We start from the raw sequence: 24,921 nt of genomic DNA, 5'->3' as shown, positions 1-24,921 counted from the left end.
GAAGGTATGTACCGTAGTCTCCCCTTATCTGTGGAGATACTTTCCAAGACCCCCAGGGGATGCCTGAAACCACAGACAGTGCAGGATCCTGTATATACATTATATTTTTCCTATATTATACATATAGGCAAAATGTATACCTTGAAATACCTATGATACCTGTTATATGATCTATGAAAAAGTTTAATTTATAAATTAGACACACTAAGAGGTTAACAACAACTAATAAAAGAGAACAATTATAACAATATACTGTAATAAAAGTTATATGAATGAGGTCTCTCTCTCTCTCTGTCTCTCTCTGTCTCCATATGTGTTGTACTGCAGGTCACTGAAATCATGGAAAGTGAAGCTGCAGACCAGAGTACTACTGTATGTATATGGATGTATGTGTATCTGTACATGTGTATGTGAATATGTATGTATATATAAAATAACTAGTTAACCCACCCTCATATTATGAGTAGCTATGAGGTAGGTACTAGTATCTTCATATTATGGTTAAGGAAACTGAGACACAAAATGTTAAAATAACTTCCTAAACTCGCATAGCTAGAGAGTGTTGTAAGGATTAAATGAGTTATTAGGGAAAGTGCTTGGAACAGAGCCTGGCACACAGTAAGCACGATATAAATGTTAATTATGATTATGACAATGATTAGTATTATAACATTCTGGGCATTATACTAGAACAAGGGATACAATGATTAACAAGACACAGCCCCTGCCCTTTAAGAACTCACCATGTGGTGGGGAAAGTAGACATGCAAGTTGGTAATTATGCTGGAAGGTAAGTGTTAGAGTAGAAAAAAAGGACAGCAGGAGCACATGGAAGAAGCACTTGGCTCAGCCCAGAGCAGACCTGGCCAATAAAAATACAAAGGAACTTCAAAAGGTTTGTAGAAAGTGGAATGAAAAGATAAAAATAAAAAATATAAACTTTGTTTCTCAACGTAAACTCCATCAAGTTCAAGACACTTTTGTAAGTGGTCATACCAGCCATTTAGTCCATCCCTAAAGACCTGAGGCTCCTGGGCATTTAACCATGTCAATGCAGTTTTTATACATTATACAGAATGGGTGCCCTTTGCAGATATTTTAAGATTAGGAAACAACAAAGAAGTCACAAGGAGACAAATCAGGACTATAAGGTGGATGGCCAGTGATTTCCCATGGAAACTCTCACAAAATTGTCCTTCTGCAAGTGAGGAATGAGCAGGAGTATTGTTGTAGTGAAGGACTCTCCAGTCCTTCACTCCGGGACTTTCCTGAGTGTTTCTCTGCTAAAGCTTTGCTAACTTTCTCAAAACACTCTCATAATGAACAGGTGTTATCATTCTTTGGCACTCCAGAAGGTCAGCAAGCAAAATGCTTTGTTCATCCTAAAAAACTTTTGCCCTGAGCTTTGCTCTTGACTGGTCCTCTTTTGCTTTGACTGGACCACTTCCACCTCTTGGTAGCCATTGCTTTGGTTGTGCTTTGTCTTCAGGATCACACTGGTGAAGCCATGTTTCATCTCCTATTACAATTCTTTGAAAAAACGCTTTAGAATTTTGATGACACTTGTTTGAAATTTCCATTGAAAGTTCTGCTTTTGTCTGCAACTGATCTGGGTGCAAAGGCTTTGGCATCCATCAAGTGGAAAATCTGCTCAACTTTTAAAATTTTAGTCAGCATTTCATAAGCTGCACCAATTGAGATGTCTGTGGTGTCAGCTATTTTTTCTGTTAATTGTCCTCTTCAAAAACAAGATGACTTTTTCCTCGAAAATTAATGTGAATGGTCTGCTGTTGCAGGCTTCATCTTCAACATTGTCTAGTCCCCTCTTAAAATGAGTTCTACATTTGTAAACTGCTTACTTATTTGGGGCATTGTCTTCATAAGCTTTTCATAAAGCATCAATGATCTCATCATTCTTCCACCCAAGCTTTATCATAAATTTGATGTTGGTTTTTGCTTCAGTTTTAGCAGAATTCATGTTGCTTTGATGGAAGCTCTTTTCAAACTGATGGCTTAACCTTCTTAGCGCCTCAAACTAGATCCTATTCAGACATGTTGTAACAAGTTATTAAAAGTTTATTTTGGTGCAAAACAAACTGAAATCCACGCATAGTTTCATAATATGCATTTTCCACGAAATTTTGAAGACCCCTTATGTAGAACAAGCCAAATATGCAACTTGAAAGTTTCTAGTAGCCACATTAAAAAAGCAAAAAACAAAACAAAGTAAGCGAAATTAAGTTGGTAATTTCACAATTTTATTTAACCCAATATATCAAAATGTTAAAATTTCAGCATATATTCAATATTTTAAAAATCATTAGTAAGTCTGGGCATGGTGGCTTATATCTGTAATCCCAACACATTGCAGGGCTGAGGTGGGTGGATTGCTTGAGCCCAGGAGTTCAAGACCAGCCTGAGCAACAGGGTGAGACCTCACCTCTACAAAAAAATATAAAAATTAGCCAGGTGTGGTGGCATGTGCCTATAGTCCCAGCATCTCAGGAGGCTGAGGTGGGAGGATTGCCTGAGCCTGAGAGGTCAAGGCTGCAATGAGCCATGATCACACCATTGCACTCCAGCCTAGCGACAGGATGAGACCCTGTCTTTGAAAAAACAAAACAAACAAAACCATTAGTAAGGTATTTTATTCTTTTTTGTGCTAAGTATTTGAAATCTAATGTGTATTTTACACTTAGACTAGTTACATTTCAAGTACTCAATAGCCACATATGTCTATTGTCTTCTGTATTGGCCAGGCCAGACAATACAGAAGGCTTCCCGGAGGGAATGACACATGAACTGAATGAAGAAGTCATTCAGTTTTCATTTACCCCTGAGGAGGATGAGATTGCAATTCACTGGTGACTTTGACTCCAGGCTCCACTTCTCCAAGACAATGCTTCATATAGTTGGCAGAAAAATGGTCCTCAAAGATGTCTATGTCCTATTTCCCAGAACCTGTGAATATGTTAACTCACCTGGCAAGGAGGAGTTAAGATTATAGATGGAATGAAGCTCTAATCAGCTGACCTCGAGATGGGGAGATTCTCCTGTTTTACGCACATGCGTATAACTTAATTACTTAATTACAAAAGTCCTTACATGTGGTAGGGGGAGGCAGAAGAATGGTCAATGTCAGAGAGATGTGATATGAGAAAGACTGAACTTGCCATTGCTGGCTTTGAAGGTGGAGGAAAGGGCTATTAGCCAAGGAATGAAAACAGCCTCTAGAAGTTGGAAAAGGCAAGGAAACAGATCCTTCAAAAAGCAATCCCAATAAAAAGTGGACAAAGGAAGTGAACAGACACTTCTCAAAAGAAGATAGTCATGTGGCCAATAAACATATGAAAAAAGCTCAACATCACTGATCATTAGAGAAATGCAAATCAAAACCACAATGAGATACCATCTCACTCCAACCAGAATGGCAACTATTAAAAAGTCAAGAAACAACAGTTGCTGGCAAGGCTGTGGCAAAATAGGAACACTTTTACATTGTTGGTGGGAATGTAAATTAGTTCAACCATTGTGGAATACAGTGTAGCAATTCCTCAAAGACCTAGAACCAGAAATACCATTTGACCAAGCAACCCATTACTGGGTATATATCCAAAGGAAGATAAATCATTCTATTATAAAGATACATGCATGCATATGTTCATTGCAGCACTATTCACAATAGCAAAGACATGGAATCAACCCAAATGCCCATCAATGATAGACTAGATAAAGAAAATGTGGTACATATATGCCATGGAATACTATGCAGCCATGAAAAGGAACAAGATCATGTCCTTTGAAGGGACATGGATGGAGCTGGAAGCCATTCTCCTCAGCAAACTAATGCAGTAACGGAAAACCAAACACTGCATATTCTCACTTATAAGTGGGAGCGGAACAACGAGAACACATGGACACAGGGAGGGAAACATCACACACTGGGGCCTGTTGGAAGGGTGGGAGAAGAGAGAGCATTAGGATAAATAGCTAAATGCATTTAGCTATTTAGCTAATGCATTTAGCTATTTATTTATTTAGCATCAGAATAAATAGCTAATGCATTAATGTAATTTGTTATAGCAACAATAGGAAATAGTCCCATTTTTCCCTTCTGGGCACTGGGGAACCCACCTGAAGCCCTACTTCTTTTATGAATCCATCTTCACCATGGTTAGGTCCCTGAGAACTGGAGTGGGGTGAGACTCTGTGGGCTTCCTAGCTGTCCCCACCCCATCTGTAACTATGATGATGTTTACCATCATGTAACACTCTTGTTTCCTGTGCAGTCTGCTATTAAATGAAATAATGGAAGTGAAAGTCCTTTGTCATCACAAAAGTTCTCGCCTGACCCTGCTGTTCATAATGTTAATAAAAAGCAAAAGGTGTTAATAATAAGGGAAACTGAGGGCAGTAAGGAGCCATATGGGAGCACTGCAGTTTCTGCTCACTTTTCTGTCAACCTAAGACTGCTCCAAAAAATATAATCTATTAATTTTTAAAAAGTAATGCAAATACAAAGAAAAGTAAAGAAAAAAAGACTCACAATTCAACACCTGCAAATATACAGAAGGCCTTGTTAGCAAGATGTAAAAAAGAGATCAGATGAGAATGGTAATGAAGATACTTTTCAAAGCACAAAAGGAAGCCCACACTATGTAATGAAATGAAGAATCAGGGAACTATGGCTCAATTCCATGCTTCCACAGAAAAGAAGGCATGGCCACACTTGATCATCAGGAATGAGGGACCTCTGGTGTCCCAGACCCTTTCCCTTGGCATATCACAAAAGGAAAATGGACCAGTGTTCCTGCCAAGCGATTTAAATAATGATCCCAAGCCCTCTCTGCCACACCCAGCCTCATCCCCCTGGAAACCCCTTGAATGCGTTCTTAACCATTGTTCACAGGAGAACAGGCAGATCGTCTTACAGGTCCCTTTGATGACTGAATGACGTCAATGCTGAAGGGGGGGCCTGTGAAAGGAGAGGGAAGGCATTTTTCATGTGTTTTTTGGCTGCATAAATGTCTTCTTTTGAGAAGTGTCTGTTCATGTCCTTCGCCCACTTTTTGATGGGGTTGTTTGTTTTTTTCTTGTAAATTTGTTTGAGTTCATTGTAGATTCTGGATATTAGCCCTTTGTCAGATGAGTAGGTTGCGAAAATTTTCTTCCATTTTGTAGGTTGCCTGTTCACTCTGATGGTAGTTTCTTTTGCTGTGCAGAAGCTCTTTAGTTTAATTAGATCCCATTTGTCAACTTTGGCTTTTGTTGCCATTGCTTTTGGTGTTTTAGACATGAAGTCCTTGCCCATGCCTATGTCCTGAATGGTAATGCCTAGGTTTTCTTCTAGGGTTTTTAATAGGAACACTTTTACACTGTTGGTGGGACTGTAAACTAGTTCAACCATTGTGGAAGTCAGTGTGGCGATTCCTCAGGGATCTAGAACTAGAAATACCATTTGACCCAGCCATCCCATTACTGGGTATATACCCAAAGGACTATAAATCGTGCTGCTATAAAGACACATGCACACGTATGTTTATTGCGGCATTATTCACAATAGTAAAGACTTGGAACCAAGCCAAATGTCTAACAATGATAGACTGGATTAAGAAAATGTGGCACATATACACCATGGAATACTATGCAGCCATAAAAAATGATGAGTTCATGTCCTTTGTAGGGACATGGATGAAATTGGAAATCATCATTCTCAGTAAACTATCGCAAGAACAAAAAACCAAACACCACATATTCTCACTCATAGGTGGGAATTGAACAATGAGAACACATGGACACAGGAAGGGGAACATCACACTCTGGGGACTGTTGTGGGGTGGGGGGAGGGGGAGGGATAGCATTGGGAGATATACCTAATGCTAGATGACGAGTTAGTGGGTGCAGCACACCAGCATGGCACATGTATACATATGTAACTAACCTGCACAATATGCACATGTACCCTAAAACTTAAAGTATAATAATAATAAAAAATAAAAAAATAAAGATAGTAGAGGAAAAATCACACCCGTGACCTTGCAAAAAAAAAAAGAAAGGAGAGGGAAGGCTCTCTCCACCCTCAGGCCTTCTTTCTCACCATGACTCTTTGGGAAGTAAGAGAGGGAATGGCCTCTCTTTTCCTGTGAATCCCCTTCTTTCTGGCTCCTGTGGAAGAGGCTTGAAGGAGACACTGAGGAGTGAGGAGAGGAACACATGCCTTGGTTAATATTCCTAAAGTGTATCCAAGAGCTTGGGAGGAAAGACAAGAATCCTATCAGCAGGCTTCACCTTCTGTTCCCAGACAGCTAGGCAAAAACAACTTTGTTCGTTTCCTGTTTTCAAAAACAGTGCGTTATCAGAGGGTTTTTGTTGCTGTTGTTGTTGTTGTTGTTGTTTGGTTTTTCTTTTTAGGGATAGGGTCTGGCTCTGTCACCCAGGCTGGAGTGCAGTGGTACAATCACAGCTCATGGCAGCCTCTAACTCCTAGCCTCAAGCGATCCTCTCACTGTGGCCTCGCAAGGTGCTGGGATTACAGGCCTGAACTGCGATGCTGGCCTACAAGAGGGTTTAAGATGTATGAGAGCAGTGGTTACAAGACCCTGTAGGGAAGAGAGCAGAGAGAAAAGGGTGCCCTGATAATAGCAGTGCTCTCTCCACCCTGAGGCCCGTGATGCAAATGAAGAGGGAAACTTATTACTCACCTCAGGTTAGAAAGCGGAGAGTTTCATCAGTTGATATTCCAGGGACTTGGCAGTCTGAGATTTATGGACTTAATATAGTTTATTCTTTTGTGGCGTCATTGGTTGGGAAAGTGCAAGATTCCATGTTAATGAAACTCAAAGCAGGAATGATAAACCACATCCCACGAGGAACGGGGGATTGCCCGTTGAGACTCCCCCTGCATGGGCCCCAACAAACCCCCTGCTTGGGGCAGAACAACAGTCCTTGGGGTGTTATAAACAGCTCCACAGCTCCAGCTGGCTTTCTACCCCTAGACCCCTCCACAGTGAAGCAGCAAGTGTCTCCCAGAAGGAAAACTCAGAGGCCAAAATTAGGTAAAGATACATGACTTTATGTTAGACCAGATGGGACTCCTGGGGTTCCTTGGAAATGCAAAAGGGAAAAATGCAGCTCCCTCGTGGGTGTCTACGCTGATGTGTCATCTTGCTGCCCATGGAAACAGCAGTAAAGAGAAACAAACATTTGTTTTATCTTGCGGACCTTGCCTCACACAGATATGGGAAAGAATTTTGTAAATAATTGGTTATTTGAAATCAGTGTTTTCCTTTTCTTGATGACATCCTGAAGTACTTGTTACCTGGCAAGCAAATGACGCAGCTCAGCTGGAAGTTTCAGGTACCCAGAAATTGATTTACTTGAATATTATCATCGAAGCACTACCTTTAAGCACCTAGTTATTAGAGAAGGAAGAGGAATATGTCTGTGAGCCGGCGGCTAGGAGGAATCCTAAGAAAACACAAGTTTTTATGACGCTGTGGTGTGTCAGGACAGAGTCCGGCAGACCTGGGAGACGGGAGATAAGAGTCCTGGTTCCCAGCCCGTCGCCAGCAGCCTTAAGACTCCTTAAGTACAGTGCATACTCATGGGCGAAACAAAGCGAGAAGCAGCACCGAGGAGCAGCCTGCGACTCTGCTATTTTTAAACTGCCAATTAGAACGCCTAAAATTACGTGGCTAGAACCACCACATCCGCTCAGAGTTAATCATACACTTCTGAGCTGAAGTTTTAAATTTTCTGTTTTCCAAGTCCCTGATCAGAATATTTAAAAAGATTATTTCTTGGCTGCCTCAGGCCCACAGTTGAGTTGTGGTTCGGGATGATTTCTACTGGGAATGGCTTTTCTTGGCCAGAGTTAAAATCTGTCATATATACACACACACACACACACACACATACACATACACACACACACGTATATATATATATTTGGGGTTTTTTTTTTGGGGGGGGGATGAATTTTAAAACATAGAGATTTTAAAACAAAAGAGACAGGCAGAAATGCAAAACAATCCAAAGAGTGATCTAATGGTTCCAAGATTCTGTTTGACCAATCAAATTACAATAGTTAACGTGGGCCTGCCCACCACTTACCCTATTTCTCCTGCTAGTCCTCTTTTCCTCCAGGTCTTGCTCTCTGTGCAGTGAAAGAATATGACATTTTGCTAGGGGCACATGTCTCCAGTTTCCTCCACTGACATTGGACCCCAGAGCTCAATTCAAATGAAATGGGAGAGACAGGACATAATTAAAATCCTCGTCAGGCCCACTTAGAAGACCTATTACAGGGTCCAGACTTCACGAAGGCTGCATGAACCTTATACATGGGTTGAATCCCCAGTAATTCCTGCACTGCCCACACTGCACACTACCGACTTTGACTATCTGTGCAGCATTTGGCTAGCAGTAGCCTCCCAAAGCCATATGAGAGAGAACTGCTCTGAGGGACAATGAGAACTGAAAGAGAAAAATTCCAAAACAGAAAACACACACACACACACACCCCTCAAAACAAAAGGGGCTTTCTGGGTAGCATTTAAGCAAAATTAATTTTACTGAATGGAGGTATTAGAGTTTAGCCCATGCTGTTGTGTGTTTTGAGAAAAGCATATTTCTATGTAGTTATTTAGAAGTTGCATCCTAGGCCGGGTGTTGTGGATCATGCCTGGAATCCCAGTGCTTTGGGAGGCAAAGGATGCAGGAGAATCACTTGAAGCCAGGATTTTAAGACCAGCCTGAGAAACACAGTGAAACCCCCATCTCCACAAAAAGTGTTTTAAAAATTAACCAGGTATGAGGGTGCATGGCTGTAGTCAGCTACTTAGGAGGCTGAGCCCAGGAGTTGGAGGCTGCAGAGAGCTATGATCCTGCCACTGCACTCCAGCCTGGGCAACAGAGTGAGACCCCCAACTTTAAAAAAAGAAAATAAAAAAGAAGTTGCATCCTATCATATTTCTCATGACTGTACATTTATTTATTTAAACTTCATCAAGAGGAGAGCATTAATTTGTTTTTCTGAGAAAAGACGCATGATATCCTTGAGGACAAACAGAGCAAGTATTTTTCAAATAATATTCTACAAATTAACAACACCTCAGGAGAGACAGAAAGGGGGCGTGCAGAGCCCTGCGTGCTGCTCTGAGTGATGGCTGGTTGGTGAGGAAGTCTCCTGTCCCTCGGAGCCTCCTGCTCCCCTGCACGCTTAGCCCTGCGAGGCTCTTTTCTGAAACCAGACGTGATACAGAGGAAGGACTCTTGCCATCTGCGGCATCTCCGTCTGAATCAGTCTTCAATGTGGTTTTCAATTATTACATTTCCCAGACAATGCCCCATCCCCTACAATCTTATATTTAACAAAAGGCTGCCTATACCATTTTTTTTTTAAAAAAAGGCAAAAGATGGTGAACACAAAATTAAATGAAAAATTAAATGTGTGCTTATGATTTCTAAACATTTAAAAATGTGTCTGTGTGCATGGCGGAACTGCCACCAAATTCTACCTCTTGCGGCTGAAACCACTGTTTAATGTGGTCTTTTTGGTACTTCAGTAACTATAACCACTTGAATGAGTGCAAGATGATGAAGGCAGCAGCATGGCAGGTTTCATAGCAGTATCATAAGACAGCTTCCAAGATACAAAATAACAGTGATTCTATTTTATGGTGAGGAAATGAAGTTACACCATAATTAAATAATTTTCCCAAAATTTTAACTGAAAACAAGGAAGAAGAAAGAACTAGAACTCAGCAAGGGAGTTCAGACGGAACCCTCGTTTCCACACTCTTATCATCTAGTCCTTTTCTCATTTACATACTACAGTATATCTTAGTCCTGCCACAATAAATAATATAAGCTCTCTTCTCTCCTGAAAAGAGTTCATTCTGGGGGCCAGACAGGGTGCCTATTTCTTTTTAATACTGCCCCTCAGTCCTGTGAGCTCTGATTAAATGGTTTCACATGCTGAGTTAAATAATTGGAGTTGCCTAGTTCCCGACCGTTTGTTTGCCAGCTATAATGAGTGTGGCTGTTTTAAGGGAATGACTGATACACGAAAGCAGCAAGAAAAGCAAACAAGGCATCCTATTCAAAGAATGTGAAGAACGAAAGGTTACCACGGCCCAGCCTCCTGGGCACAACCCCACGCCCCCCGCCCACCCCACACCTCCATGCTCATAAATTGCAAATCTACATTCACAGCACAATGCTTTCACTGGCAAGCTGCCTCAAAAATCAGAATGCTAGTAATGCCAAGGCCTAGCTCCCAGCCCCTGTTTTGTTTTTGTCATTTACCAGCTGAGTATCCTTGAGAAAGCTGCTTCACTGTTCTGGGGCTGCAGTTTCCTCATCTGTCAAAGGAAAAGACCAACAGGACCTCAGTGACATTCTGTGCTTCCTCATAGGGAAGGTGGTTAAAGTTATTTTAATGAAGGCCACCGTGATCACCCAGAGGCCCCACTGGTGAGTCCATGAGCTGTAGAGTGTTATTTTATGTATTCCAAAGGAAGGGGAAGGTCTATACTGAAAAATGGACTCTATGTCTACACTTAAAAGCTTAAATTTTAATAGTGGCAGTAACATATCAAACTAGGAAGAGAAAAATAATAAAGGAGTGTATGTACAATACTTGTTTTTTATATATTATATAAAAATAGGTCTTGATGTTTGAGAATTCATGAAAATATCTACAGAGCATCTTCTATATGGTCCACACTGAACTGGGGACTCAGGAAAGGACAAGACACAACCTTCAAGGTGCTACAAGTTTAGTAGGCGTCATGGAGTACTGGGAACCCAGAGGAGGCATGTCTAATTCTGCCTGGGGTGAGAGGTCAAGGAAAACTACCTAAAGGTGAAAAGTGAGCTGAGCCTTCAAAGCAAGTAGGAGTTCACCACATAGAAAGGTTAAGGATCCAAGGCAGAGAAAACACAATGGGCCCAGGAACACAGGCTGGAGAGAGCTGCTGCAAAAGGCTTAGAACAGCTGGGGTAACGGGGTGTTGGGATGGGAAGGGGCAAGAAAGAAGCTGGAGAGGAGAACAGAGAGGAGCCATGAGGAACAGACACAGAAGGGCCTGGGGGGCTGGGATTCACCCACAGCACAGCTCTGGGGGCACCTGGAGGGTGGGTGTTGAATAATGGATCATGTTTATGTTGAAGGAAGATTATTCTGATAGCACAGATTTTGGATTCGAGTGGGAGGGATTGGGGGTGGGAGGGTGAAACAAAGAGGCAAGCATGAGAGAGTTTCCTGGTAGTGGTGACCATATTGAGGTTAAAATAAAGAGATTTCTGTCCATACATTATGAGAAGAGCACCTAAGGCAGGGGGTAAGCACACTGAGGCCCATGGGCCAAATTCTGCCCTGCCCCTACCTGGTTTTGAACAACCCCTGATCATTTTTAAATGGTTTTAAAAAAAACCCCAAAAGAAGATTAAGATTCATGGTACATGAGAATAACATGAAATTCAAGTTTCTGTGCCCATAAAGTTTAACTGGAGCCCAGCCAGGCCTCTGAGTTTATGATTGTCTGTGGCTGCCTTAGCACTACCAAGGCCGAGTTAGTTGCAATGGATCACGTGACCTGCAAAGCCAAAAATACTACCTGGCCCTTGATAGAAAAAGTTCACAGGCCCTGGCTTAAGACTTACAGATGAGAGGAAAGAATACAAATTTCTTGAGAGGAGAGATAATGTTTTCTCATCTCCATATGCCCAGCTTACGCCTGGCTTCTAATAAATATTCAAAGACTGCTGAATGAAGGAATGAGTGAGGACCAGGTGGAAAAGGTCCCAAAACTATGACGATGACAAGACAGCCCCAGAGACCGGCAAGGTACTTTACCTTGGCGGGATGATCTTTAGACCTGAGAAGGGCCCAGTGCCTCCCGCTCTGCACCCAATATGTTCTACTACCTTTTGTGGGGTGGAGAGTGGGGGTAGACACAGAAAAACCCAAATGAGTAACACAAAAAGATTCATTCACCTTTTTTCACTCTTTAATTTAAAAATAATTACGAGGTACCTACAAGAAGTCAGAACTGGGCTAAGTCCTGGGGATACATCTGGAATACAACAAGACACTTCTAATTTTCTATTCCCTTGTTCCTCCCCTCCAATTAATTTTCCTCCCAGATACTGGGGTAATTTTTCAGAAACACAGAAGAGTTTCTGAAACACACATTGCAGCCTTCCCAAGGAGAAAGTTCAAACCCTGGACCATGGCAGACAGGCCCTCTGTAGGCTGGTTCTCCTTTCTGACCCATGCTCCAGGGACATTTAGTTACTTTTGGTTTCCCAAAGGGGTCAGGCTATTTTATGACTATGAGCCTTTGTTCTTGCTTGTCCGTCTGTCAGGAAGGTGACCTCCTACACTTCCAGCACCTACTCATCCAATATAATTCAGCTCCAAGGGACTAGTAATGGAGTTGGCAGGTGTGAGGACAGCACATGGAGATGGTCTTTACAGAATTAGTGGGCAAGAGTGGCAGAGAGAAGGCAAGCCTGGATGCTCAAAAAGATTGAGTCCCCAAGGCCCTGTTTATTAGGGGTGAGCCTCGGGGTAAAATAGCAGGGGCAGCCTCAGAGCTGAGGTTGGGACTTGGGGATGGGGTTGCTTTCAGGCTATCAGAAGCTATTTATTATTATTATTACTTTTCTTTTTTGAGACAGAGTCTCGCTCTGTCACCCAGGCTGGAGTGCAGTGGCACGATCTCAGCTCACTGCAAGCTCCGCCTCCCGGTTTCACACCATTCTCCTGCCTCAGCCTCCTGAGTAGCTGGGATTACACCACAGCTTAGCAAAGCTGCTGTAGCCAGACTGCCTCTCTAGATTCATCCTCTCTAGGCAGGGCGTCTCTTAAAGAAAGGCAGCAGCCCCACTCAGGGGCCTATAGATAAAACTCCCATCTCCCTGGGACAGAGCACCTAGGGGAAAAGGATGCTGTGGGTGCAGCTTCAGCAGACTTAAACGTTCTGCCTGCTGGCTCTGAAGAGAGCAGCGGATCTCCCAGCACAGCACTCAAGCTCTGCTAAGGGACAGACTGCCTCCTCAAGTGGGTCCCTGACCCCCATGCCTCCTGACTGGGAGACACCTCCCAGGAGGGGTCGACAGACACCTCATACAGGAGAGCTCCGGCTGGCATCTGGCAGGTGTCCCTTTGGGATGAAGCTTCCAGAGGAATGAAAAGGCAGCAATCTTTGCTGTTCTGCAGCCTCCACTGGTGATACCCAGGCAAAAAGGGCCTGGAGTGGACCTCCAGCAAACTTCAGCAGACCTGTGGCAGAGGGGCCTGTTAGAAGGAAAACTAACAAACAGAAAGGAATAGCATCAACATCAGCAAAAAGGATGTCCACACAGAAACCCCATCCAAAGGTCACCAACATCAAAGACCAAAGGTAGATAAATCCACGAAGATGAGGAAAAACCAGCACAAAAAGTTTGGAAATTCCAAAAACCAGAACATCTCTTCTCCTCCAAAGGATCACAACTCCTCACCAGCAAGGGAACAAAACTGGATGGAGAATGAGTTTGACGAATTGACAGAAGTAGGCTTCAGAAGGTGGGTAATAACAAACTCCTCAGAGCTAAAGGAGTATGTTCTAATGCAATGCAAGGAAGCTAAGAACCTTGAAAAAAGGTTAGAGGAATTGCTAACTAGAATAACCAGTTTAGAGTAAAACACAAAGATGTGATGGAGCTGAAAAACAGCACGAGAGCTTCGTGAAGCATACACAAGTATTAATAGCCAAATCGATCAAGCAGAAGAAAAGATATCAGAGATTGAAGAGGAACTTAATGAAATAAGGCATGAAGACAAGATTAGAGAAAAAAGAATGAAAAGGAATGAACAAAGCCTCCAAGAAATATGGGACTATCTGAAAAGACCAAACCTACATTTGATTGGTGTACCTGAAAGTGATGGGGAGAATGGAACCAAGTTGGAAAACACTCTTCAGGATATTATCCAGGAGAACTTCCCCAACCTAGCAAGAAGGCCAACATTCAAATTCAGGAAATACAAGGAACACCACAAAGATACTCCTCGAGAAGAGCAACCCCAAGACACATAATCATCAGATTCACCAAGGTTGAAATGGAAAAAATGTTAAGGGCAGCTAGAGAGAAAGGTCAGATTACCCACAAAGGGAAGCCCGTCAGACTAACAGCAGGTCTCTCTGCAGAAACCCAACAAGCCAGAAGAGAGTGGGGGCGAATATTCAACATTCTTAAAGAAAAGAATTTTCAACCCAAAATTTCATATCCAGCCAAACTAAGCTTCATAAGCAAAGGAGAAATAAAATCCTTTACAGACAAGCAAATGCTGAGAGATTTTGTCACCACCAGGCCTGCCCTAAAAAGAGCTCCTGAAGGAAGCACTAAACATGGAAAGGAACAACTGGTACCAGCCACTGCAAAAACATACCAAATTGTAAAGACCATCGACACTACGAAGAAACTACATCAACTAACGGGCAAAATAATCAGCTAGCATCATAGTGATAGGATCAAATTCATACATAACAATATTAACCTTAAATGTAAATGGACTAAATGCCCCATTTAAAAGACACACACTGGCAAATTGGATAAAGAGTCAAGACCCATTGGTGTGCTATATTCGGGAGACCCATCTCACGTGCAAAGACACATGATAGGCTCAAAATAAAGGGATGGAGGAATTTTTACCAAGCAAATGGAAAGCAAAAAATAATAATAATAATAAGCAGGGGTTGCAATCCTAGTCTTCGATAAAACAGACTTTAAACCAACAAAGATCAAAAGAGACAAAGAAGGCCATTATATAATGGTAAAGGGATTGATGCAACAAGAAGAGCTAACTACCCTAACTATCCTAAAGTACCCAGATTCATAAAGCAAGTTCTTAGAGACCTACTTAGAGACCTACAAAGAGACTTAGACTTCCACACAATAATAGTGGGAGACATTAACACCTGACTGTCAATATCAGACGGATCAACGAGACAGAAAATTAACAAGGATATTCAAGACTTGAACTCAGCTCTGGACCAAGCGGACCTAATAGACATCTAAAGAACTCTCAACCCCAAATCATCAGAATATACATTCTTCTCAGCACCACATCACGCTTATTCTAAAATTGACCACATAATTGGAAGTAAAACACTCCTCAGCAAATACAAAAGAATGGAAATAATAACAAACAGTCCCTCAGACCACAGTGCAATCATATTAGAACTGACGACTAAGAAATTCACTCAAAACCACGCAAATATATGGAAACTGAGCAACCTGCTCCTGAATGGCCACTGGGTAAATAACAAAATTAAGGCAGAAAGAAATAAGTTCTTTGAAACCAATAAGAACAAAGACACAATGTACTAGAATCTCTGGGACACAGCTAAAGCAGTGTTTAGAAGGAAATTTATAGCACTAAATGCCCACAGGAGAAAGTGGGAAAGATCTAAAATCGACACCCTAACATCACAATTAAAAAAACTAGAGAAACAAGAGCAAACAAATTCAAAAGGTAGCAGAAGACAAGAAATAACTAAGATCACAGCAGAAATGAACGAGATAGAGACATGAAAAACCCTTCAAAAAAATCAATAAATCCAGGACCCGGTTTTTTGAAAAGATTAACAAAATAGATAGACCACTGGCCAGATTAATAAAGAAGAAAAGAGAGAAGAATCAAATGGACACAATAAAAAATGATAAAGGGGATATCACCACTGATCCCACAGAAATATAAACTACCATCAGAGAATACTGTAAACACCTCTATGCAAATAAACTAGAAAATCTAGAAGAAATTGATAAATTCCTGGACACAGACACCCTCCCAAGACTAAACCAGGAAGAAGTTGAATCCCTGAATAGACTAATAACAAGTTCTGAAATTGAGGCAGTAATTAATAGCCTACCTGCCAAAAAAAGCCCAGGACCAGATGGATTCACAGCCAAATTCTACCAGAGGTATGAAGAGGAGATGGTACCATTCCTTCTGAAAATGTTCTAAACAATAGAAAAAGAGGGACTCCTCCCTAACTCATTTTATAAGACCAGCATCATCCTGATACCAAAACCTGGCAGACACACAACAAAAAAAGAAAATTTCAGGCAAATATCCCTGACGAACATCGATGTGAAAATCCTCAATAAAATACTGGCAAAAAGACTCCAGCAGCATATCAAAAAGCTTATCCACCATGATCAAGTGGGCTTCATCCCTGGGATACAAGGCTGGTTCAACATATGCAAATCAACAAACGTAATCCATCACATAAACAGAAGCAATGTCAAAAACCACATGATTATCTCAATAGATGTAGAAAAGGCCTTTGACAAAATTCAACACCACTTCATGCTAAAAACTCTCAATAAACTAGATATTGATGGACTGTATCTCAAAATAATAAGAGCTATTTATGACAAACCCACAGCCAATATAATACTAAATGGGCAAAAGCTGGAAGCATTCCCTTTGAAAACTGGCACAAGACAAGGATGCCCTCTCTCACCACTCCTATTCAATACAGTATTGGAACTTCTGGCCAGGGAAATCAGGCAAGAGAAAGAACTAAAGCGTATTTAAATAGGAAGACAGGAAGTCAAATTGTCTCTGTTTGCAGATGACATGATTGTATATTTAGAAAACCCCATTGTCTCAGCCCAAAATCTCCTTAAGCTGATAAGCAACTTCAGCAAAGTCTCAGGATACAAAATCAATGTGCAAAAATCACAAGCATTCCTATACACCAATAATAGACAAACAGAGAGCCAAATCATGAGTGAACTCCCATTCACAATTGCTACTAAGAGAATAAAATACCTAGAAATCCAACTTACAAGGGATGTGAAGGACCTCTTCAAGGAGAACTACAAACCACTGCTCAAGGAAATAAGAGAGGACACAAATAAATGGAAGAACATTCCATGCTCATGGATAGGAAGAATCAATATAGTGAAAATGGCTACACTGCCCAAAGTAATTTATAGATTCAATGCTAGCCCCATCAAGCTACCATTGACTTTCTCCACAGAATTAGAAAAAACTACCTTAAATTTCATATGGAATCAAAAAAGAGCCCGTATAGCCAAGACAATCCTAAGCAAAAGGAACAAAACTGGAGGCATCATGCTACCTGACTTCAAACTATACTACAAGGCTACAGTGACCAAAACAGCATGGTACTAGTACCAAAACAGAGATATAGACCAATGGAACAGAACAGAGGCCTCAGAAATAACACCATACATCTACAACCATCTGATCTTTGACAAATCTGACAAAAAAAAGCAATGGGGAAAGGATTCCCTTTTTAAAAAATGGTGCTGGGAAAACTAGCTAGCCATATGCAGAAAACTGAAACTGGACCCCTTCCTTACACCTTATACAAAAATTAACTCAAGATGGATTAAAGACTTAAATGTAAGACCTAAAACCATAAAAAACCTAGAAGATAAACCTAGGCAATACCATTCAGGACATAGGCATGGGCAAAAACTTCATGACTAAAACACCAAAAGCAATGGCAACAAAAGCCAAAATTGACAAATAGGATCTAATTAAACTAAAGAGCTTCTGCATAGCAAAATAAACTATCATTAGAATGAACAGGCAACCTACAGAATGAGAGAAAATTTTTGCAATCGATCCATCTGACAAAGAGCTAATATCCAGAATCTACAAGGAACTTAAACAAATTTACAAGGAAAAAAACAAACAAACAACCCCATCAAAAAGTGGGTGAAGGAGATAAACAGACACTTCTCAAAAGAAGACATTTATGTGGCCAACAAACATGAAAAAAAGCTCATCATCACCGGTCATTAGAGAAATGCAAATGAAAACCACAATGAGATACCATCTCAAGCCAGTTAGAATGGCCATCATTAAAAAGTTAGGAAACAACAGATGCTGGAGAGGATGTGGAGAAATAGAACGCTTTTAAACTGTTGGTGGGAGTGTAAATTAGTTAAACCATTGTGGAAGGCAGTGTGGTGATTCCTCAAGGATCTAGAACTTGAAATACCATTTGACCCAGCAATCCAATTACCAGGTATATACCCAAAGGATTATAAATCATTCTACTATAAAGACACATGGACCTGTATGTTTATTGCAGCACTATTCACAATAGGGAAGACTTGGAACCAACCCAAATGCCCATCAATAATAGACTGGATAAAGAAAATGTGGCACATATACACCATGGAATACCATGCAGCCTTAAAAAAGGATGAGTTCATGTCCTTTGGAGGGACATGAATGAAGCTGGAAACCATCATTTTCAGCAAACTAACACAGGAACAGAAAACCAAACACCACATGTTCTCACTCATATGTGGGAGTTGAACAATGAGAACACATGGACACAGGGAGGGGAACATCACACACTGAGGCCAGTCAGGGGCTGGTGGGCTAGGGGAGGGATAGCATTAGGAGAAATAGCTAACGTAGATGACGGGTTGATGGGTGCAGCAAACCACCATGGCACATGTATACCTATGTAACAAACCTGCACGTTCTGCACATGTTTCCCAGAACTTAAAGTATAGTAATCATATATATGTATCCAACTAGAATGACTAAAATTAAAAAGACTGATGATACCAAGTGTTGGTGAGGATATGGAGTAACAAATTTTTGAACAATGCTGATTAGAATCCAAAATTAATTCAATCATTTTGGAAAACAATCTGGCAGTTTCTCATAACGGAAAACATACACTTATGACCCAGCAATTCCACAGAGACCTTTTACATGGTTGCTCATAGCAAAAATCTGGAACAACCCAAATGTCCATCAAAAAGTGAACAGATAAACAAACTGCAATATAGCCCAACAATGGACTACTACTTACCAATTAAAAGGAATGAATCAATCAGAAATGTAAAAAAAAGAATGAATCTCAAAACATCATGCTGAGAGAAATAAGCTAGACATACAAAAAATATGGCATACAACACCATATTTATAAAATTCTAGAAAAGGCACCAATTATAGGGACAGATAGCAGATCATTGGATGGCTGGATCCAGGGGTATGGAGGGATTGAGTGCAAAAAACAGGAAACTTTCTTGGGTGATGGAAATGTTCTGTATCTTGATTGTGGTGATGGTTAAAGGGGCATATACTACCATCGAAACTGATCAAACTTTGTACTTAAAATGAGTCCATATGGATATGGCCCTAACAAAAGGTTATGCAAATTATATCTCAATAAAGTTGACAAAAAATAAATGATCCAGGCCCCACAAAAAAGTTGAATCAAGAGGGGAGGAGCCAAGATGGCCGAATAGGAACAGCTCCGGTCTACAGCTCCCAGCGTGAGCGACGCAGAAGACGGGTGATTTCTGCATTTCCATCTGAGGAACGCAGTTCCTCACCAGCAACGGAACAAAGCTGGATGGAGAATGACTTTGACGAGCTGAGAGAAGAAGGCTTCAGACGATCAAATTACTCTGAGCTACGGGAGGACATTCAAACCAAAGGCAAAGAAGTTGAAAACTTTGAAAAAAATTTAGAAGAATGTATAACTAGAATAACCAATACAGAGAAGTGCTTAAAGGAGCTGATGGAGCTGAAAACCAAGGCTCAAGAACTACGTGAAGAATGCAGAAGCCTCAGGAGCCGATGCGATCAACTGGAAGAAAGGGTATCAGCAATGGAAGATGAAATGAATGAAATGAAGTGAGAAGGGAAGGTTAGAGAAAAAAGAATAAAAAGAAATGAGCAAAGCCTCCAAGAAATATGGGACTATGTGAAAAGACCAAATCTACGTCTGATTGGTGTACCTGAAAGTGATAGGGAGAATGGAACCAAGTTGGAAAACACTCTGCAGGATATTATCCAGGAGAACTTCCCCAATCTAGCAAGGCAGGCCAACGTTCAGATTCAGGAAATACAGAGAACGCCACAAAGATACTCCTCGAGAAGAGCAACTCCAAGACACGTAATTGTCAGATTCACCAAAGTTGAAATGAAGGAAAAAATGTTAAGGGCAGCCAGAGAGAAAGGTCGGGTTACCCTCAAAGGGAAGCCCATCAGACTAACAGCGGATCTCTCGGCAGAAACCCTACAAGCCAGAAGAGAGTGGGGGCCAATATTCAACATTCTTAAAGAAAAGAATTTTCAACCCAGAATTTCATATCCAGCCAAACTAAGCTTCATAAGTGAAGGAGAAATAAAATACTTCACAGACAAGCAAATGCTGAGAGATTTTGTCACCACTAGGCCTGCCCTAAAAGAGCTCCTGAAGGAAGCGCTAAACATGGAAAGGAACAACCGGTACCAGCTGCTGCAAAATCATGCCAAAATGTAAAGACCATCGAGACTAGGAAGAAACTGCATCAACTGACGAGCAAAATCACCAGCTAACATCATAATGACAGGATCAAATTCACACATAACAATATTAACTTTAAATGTAAATGGACTAAATGCTCCAATTAAAAGACACAGACTGGCAAATTAGATAAAGAGTCAAGACCCATCAGTGTGCTGTATTCAGGAAACCCATCTCACGTGCAGAGACACACATAGGCTCAAAATAAAGGGATGGAGGAAGATCTACCAAGCAAATGGAAAACAAAAAAAGGCAGGGGTTGCAATCCTAGTCTCTGATAAAACAGACTTTAAACCAACAAAGATCAAAAGAGACAAAGAAGGCCATTACATAATGGTAAAGGGATCAATTCAACAAGAAGAGCTAACTATCCTAAATATATATGCACCCAATACAGGAGCACCCAGATTCATAAAGCAAGTCCTGAGTGACCTACAAAGAGACTTAGACTCCCACACATTAATAATGGGAGACTTTAACACCCCACTGTCAACATTAGACAGATCGACGAGACAGAAAGTCAACAAGGATACCCAGGAATTCAACTCAGCTCTGCACCAAGTGGACCTAATAGACATCTACAGAACTCTCCACCCCAAATCAACAGAATATACATTTTTTTCAGCACCACACCACACCTATTCCAAAATTGACCACATAGTTGGAAGTAAAGCTCTCCTCAGCAAATGTAAAAGAACAGAAATTGTAACAAACTATCTCTCAGACCACAGTGCAATCAAACTAGAACTCAGGATTAAGAATCTCACTCAAAGCCGCTCAACTACATGGAAACTGAACAACCTGCTCCTGAATGACTACTGGGTACATAATGAAATGAAGGCAGAAATAAAGATGTTCTTTGAAACCAACGAGAACAAAGACACAACATACCAGAATCTCTGGGACGCATTCAAAGCAGTGTGTGGAGGGAAATTTATAGCACTAAATGCCCACAAGAGAAAGCAGGAAAGATCCAAAATTGACACCCTAACATCACAATTAAAAGAACTAGAAAAGCAAGAGCAAACACATTCAAAAGCTAGCAGAAGGCAAGAAATAACTAAAATCAGAGCAGAACTGAAGGAAATAGAGACACAAAAAACCCTTCAAAAAATCAATGAATCCAGGAGCTGGTTTTTTGAAAGGATCAACAAAATTGATAGACCACTAGCAAGACTAATAAAGAAAAAAAGAGAGAAGAATCAAATAGACACAATAAAAAATGATAAAGGGGATATCACCACTGATCCCACAGAAATACAAACTACCATCAGAGAATACTACAAACACCTCTACGCAAATAAACTAGAAAATCTAGAAGAAATGGATAAATTCCTCAACACATACACTCTCCCAAGACTAAACCAGGAAGAAGTTGAATCTCTGAATAGACCAATAACAGGAGCTGAAATTGTGGAAATAATCGACAGTTTACCAACCAAAAAGAGTCCAGGACCAGATGGATTCACAGCGGAATTCTACCAGAGGTACAAGGAGGAACTGGTACCATTCCTTCTGAAACTATTCCAATCAATAGAAAAAGAGGGAATCCTCCCTAACTCATTTTATCAGGCCAGCATCTTTCTGATACCAAAGCCGGGCAGAGACACAACCAAAAAAGAGAATTTTAGACCAATATCCTTGATGAACATTGATGCAAAAATCCTCAATAAAATACTGGCAAAACGAATCCAGCAGCACATCAAAAAGCTTATCCACCATGATCAAGTGGGCTTCATCCCTGGGATGCAAGGCTGGTTCAATATACGCAAATCAATAAATGTAATCCAGCATATAAACAGAACCAAAGACAAAAACCACATGATTATCTCAATAGATGAAGAAAAAGCCTTTGACAAAATTCAACAACCCTTCATGCTAAAAACTCTCAATAAATTAGGTATTGATGGGACGTATTTCAAAATAATAAGAGCTATCTATGACAAACCCACAGCCAATATCATACTGAATGGGCAAAAACTGGAAGCACTCCCTTTGAAAACTGGCACAAGACAGGGATGCCCTCTCTCACCACTCCTATTCAACATAGTGTTGGAAGTTCTGGCCAGGGCAATTAGGCAGGAGAAGGAAATAAAGGGTATTCAATTAGGAAAAGAGGAAGTCAAATTGTCCCTGTTTGCAGACAACATGATTGTATATCTAGAAAACCCCATTGTCTCAGCCCAAAATCTCCTTAAGCTGATAAGCAACTTCAGCAAAGTCTCAGGATACAAAATCAATGTACAAAAATCACAAGCATTCTTATACACCAACAACAGACAAACAGAGAGCCAAATCGTGAGTGAACTCCCATTCACAATTGCTTCAAAGAGAATAAAATACCTAGGACTCCAACTTACAAGGGATGTGAAGGACCTCTTCAAGGAGAACTACAAACCACTGCTCAAGGAAATAAAAGAGGATACAAACAAATGGAAGAACATTCCATGCTCATGGGTAGGAAGAATCAATTGCGTGAAAATGGCCATACTGCCCAAGGTAATTTACAGATTCAATGCCATCCCCATCAAGCTACCAATGACTTTCCTCACAGAATTGGAAAAAACTACTTTAAAGTTCATATGGAAGCAAAAAAGAGCCCGCATCGCCAAGTCAATCCTAAGCCAAAAGAACAAAGCTGGAGGCATCACACTACCTGACTTCAAACTATACTACAAGGCTACAGTAACCAAAACAGCATGGTACTGGTACCAAAACAGAGATATAGATCAATGGAACAGAACAGAGCCCTCAGAAATAACGCCGCATATCTACAACTATCTGATCTTTGACAAACCTGAGAAAAACAAGCAATGGGGAAAGGATTCCCTATTTAATAAATGGTGCTGGGAAAACTGGCTAGCCATATGTAGAAAGCTGAAACTGGATCCCTTCCTTACACCTTATACAAAAATCAATTCAAGATGGATTAAAGATTTAAACGTTAGACCTAAAACCATAAAAACCCTAGAAGAAAACCTAGGCATTACCATTCAGGACATAGGCATGGGCAAGGACTTCATGTCCAAAACACCAAAAGCAATGGCAACAAAAGCCAAAATTGACAAATGGGATCTCATTAAACTAAAGAGCTTCTGCACAGCAAAAGAAACTACTATCAGAGTGAACAGGCAACCTACAAAATGGGAGAAAATTTTCGCAACCTACTCATCTGACAAAGGGCTAATATCCAGAATCTACAATGAACTCAAACAAATTTACAAGAAAAAAACAAACAACCCCATCAAAAAGTGGGCGAAGGACATGAACAGACACTTCTCAAAAGAAGACATTTATGCAGCCAAGAAACACATGAAAAAATGCTCATCATCACTGGCCATCAAAGAAATGCAAATCAAAACCACAATGAGATACCATCTCACACCAGTTAGAATGGCAATCATTAAAAAGTCAGGAAACAACAGGTGCTGGAGAGGATGTGGAGAAATAGGAACACTTTTACACTGTTGGTGGAACTGTAAACTAGTTCAACCATTGTGGAAGTCAGTGTGGCGATTCCTCAGGGATCTAGAACTAGAAATACCATTTGACCCAGCCATCCCATTACTGGGTATATACCCAAAGGACTATAAATCATGCTGCTATAAAGACACATGCACACGTATGTTTATTGCGGCATTATTCACAATAGCAAAGACTTGGAACCAACCCAAATGTCCAACAATGATAGACTGGATTAAGAAAATGTGGCACATATACACCATGGAATACTATGCAGCCATAAAAAATGATGAGTTCGTGTCCTTTGTAGGGACATGGATGAAATTGGAAATCATCATTCTCAGTAAACTATCACAAGAACAAAAAACCAAACACGGCATATTCTCACTCATAGGTGGGAATTGAACAATGAGATCACATGAACACAGGAAGGGGAATATCACACTCTGGGGACTCTGGTGGGGTGGGGGGAAGGGAGAGGGATAGCATTGGGAGATATACCTAATGCTAGATGACGAGTTAGTGGGTGCAGCGCACCAGCATGGCACAGGTATACATATGTAACTAACCTGCACAATGTGCACATGTACCCTAAAACTTAAAGTATAATAAAAAAAACAAAAAACAAAAAACAACAACAACAAAAAGTTGAATCAAAAGCTCTGTAGACTAGTCCCTGACCTGCGTGTTCAACAGGCCCTACAGGTCATTCAGTTGGTCCTGTTCGGGAATCACCTCATTACCATTTTGCTGAGCTGCTTAAAATACCATAGCCATGCTTCTTCCTTCAGATCTGTCTTCATCAACCCTGGCTTTTAAAGAAGAGTGGCAGCGTCACAGTCTCTCAGAAGAGATTTCATTAAACTAGAAGAAACCTTGTAAAGTCACACCAGCCAATCCTCTGCCTCTGGGCAACCCCAGACATAAACCTGCTCCTTGGGTTCTGCTTAGTCTCACTGCACACAGAAGAGGACTCCAGGGTGTCCCTGAAATGAGCTCCAAGTGGGCTTTATGCTCAGAGTCCTGAGTGGGGGACACCTTCCAAGGGAAGCCCAAACCCAGACCTCCTGGAAGTGAGCGTAGGAGCCCCTGCCCTTCCCAACGCTCT

General features: G+C 41.0%; 1 long non-coding RNA gene across 2 annotated transcripts in view, besides 1 other annotated feature; it reads right to left on the bottom strand.

The window, feature by feature from the left end:
• Positions 1 to 7,931, bottom strand: part of LOC105370512 (uncharacterized) — a 42,851-nt gene extending 34,920 nt beyond the window's left edge. For both annotated transcript variants that reach the window (XR_007064183.1, XR_943899.3), the window contains exon 1: positions 6,702 to 7,931. This is a non-coding gene — a long non-coding RNA (uncharacterized LOC105370512). The remainder of the gene's footprint in view (positions 1 to 6,701) is intronic.
• Positions 19,663 to 20,164: an enhancer, noted in NCBI's record as "NANOG hESC enhancer chr14:56459173-56459674 (GRCh37/hg19 assembly coordinates)". NCBI's record gives its function as "activates a minimal SCP1, AML or CMV promoter by ChIP-STARR-seq in naive H9 embryonic stem cells {active_cell/tissue: H9 hESC(naive)}" and the evidence as "EXISTENCE:reporter gene assay evidence [ECO:0000049][PMID:30033119]".

Source organism: Homo sapiens, chromosome 14 (assembly GCF_000001405.40).
Source record: "Homo sapiens chromosome 14, GRCh38.p14 Primary Assembly".
NCBI classification, from domain to species: domain Eukaryota; kingdom Metazoa; phylum Chordata; class Mammalia; order Primates; family Hominidae; genus Homo; species Homo sapiens.
The sequence above is the reverse complement of the archived record's forward strand: the minus strand, read 5'-3'. Positions and strand labels throughout refer to the sequence as shown.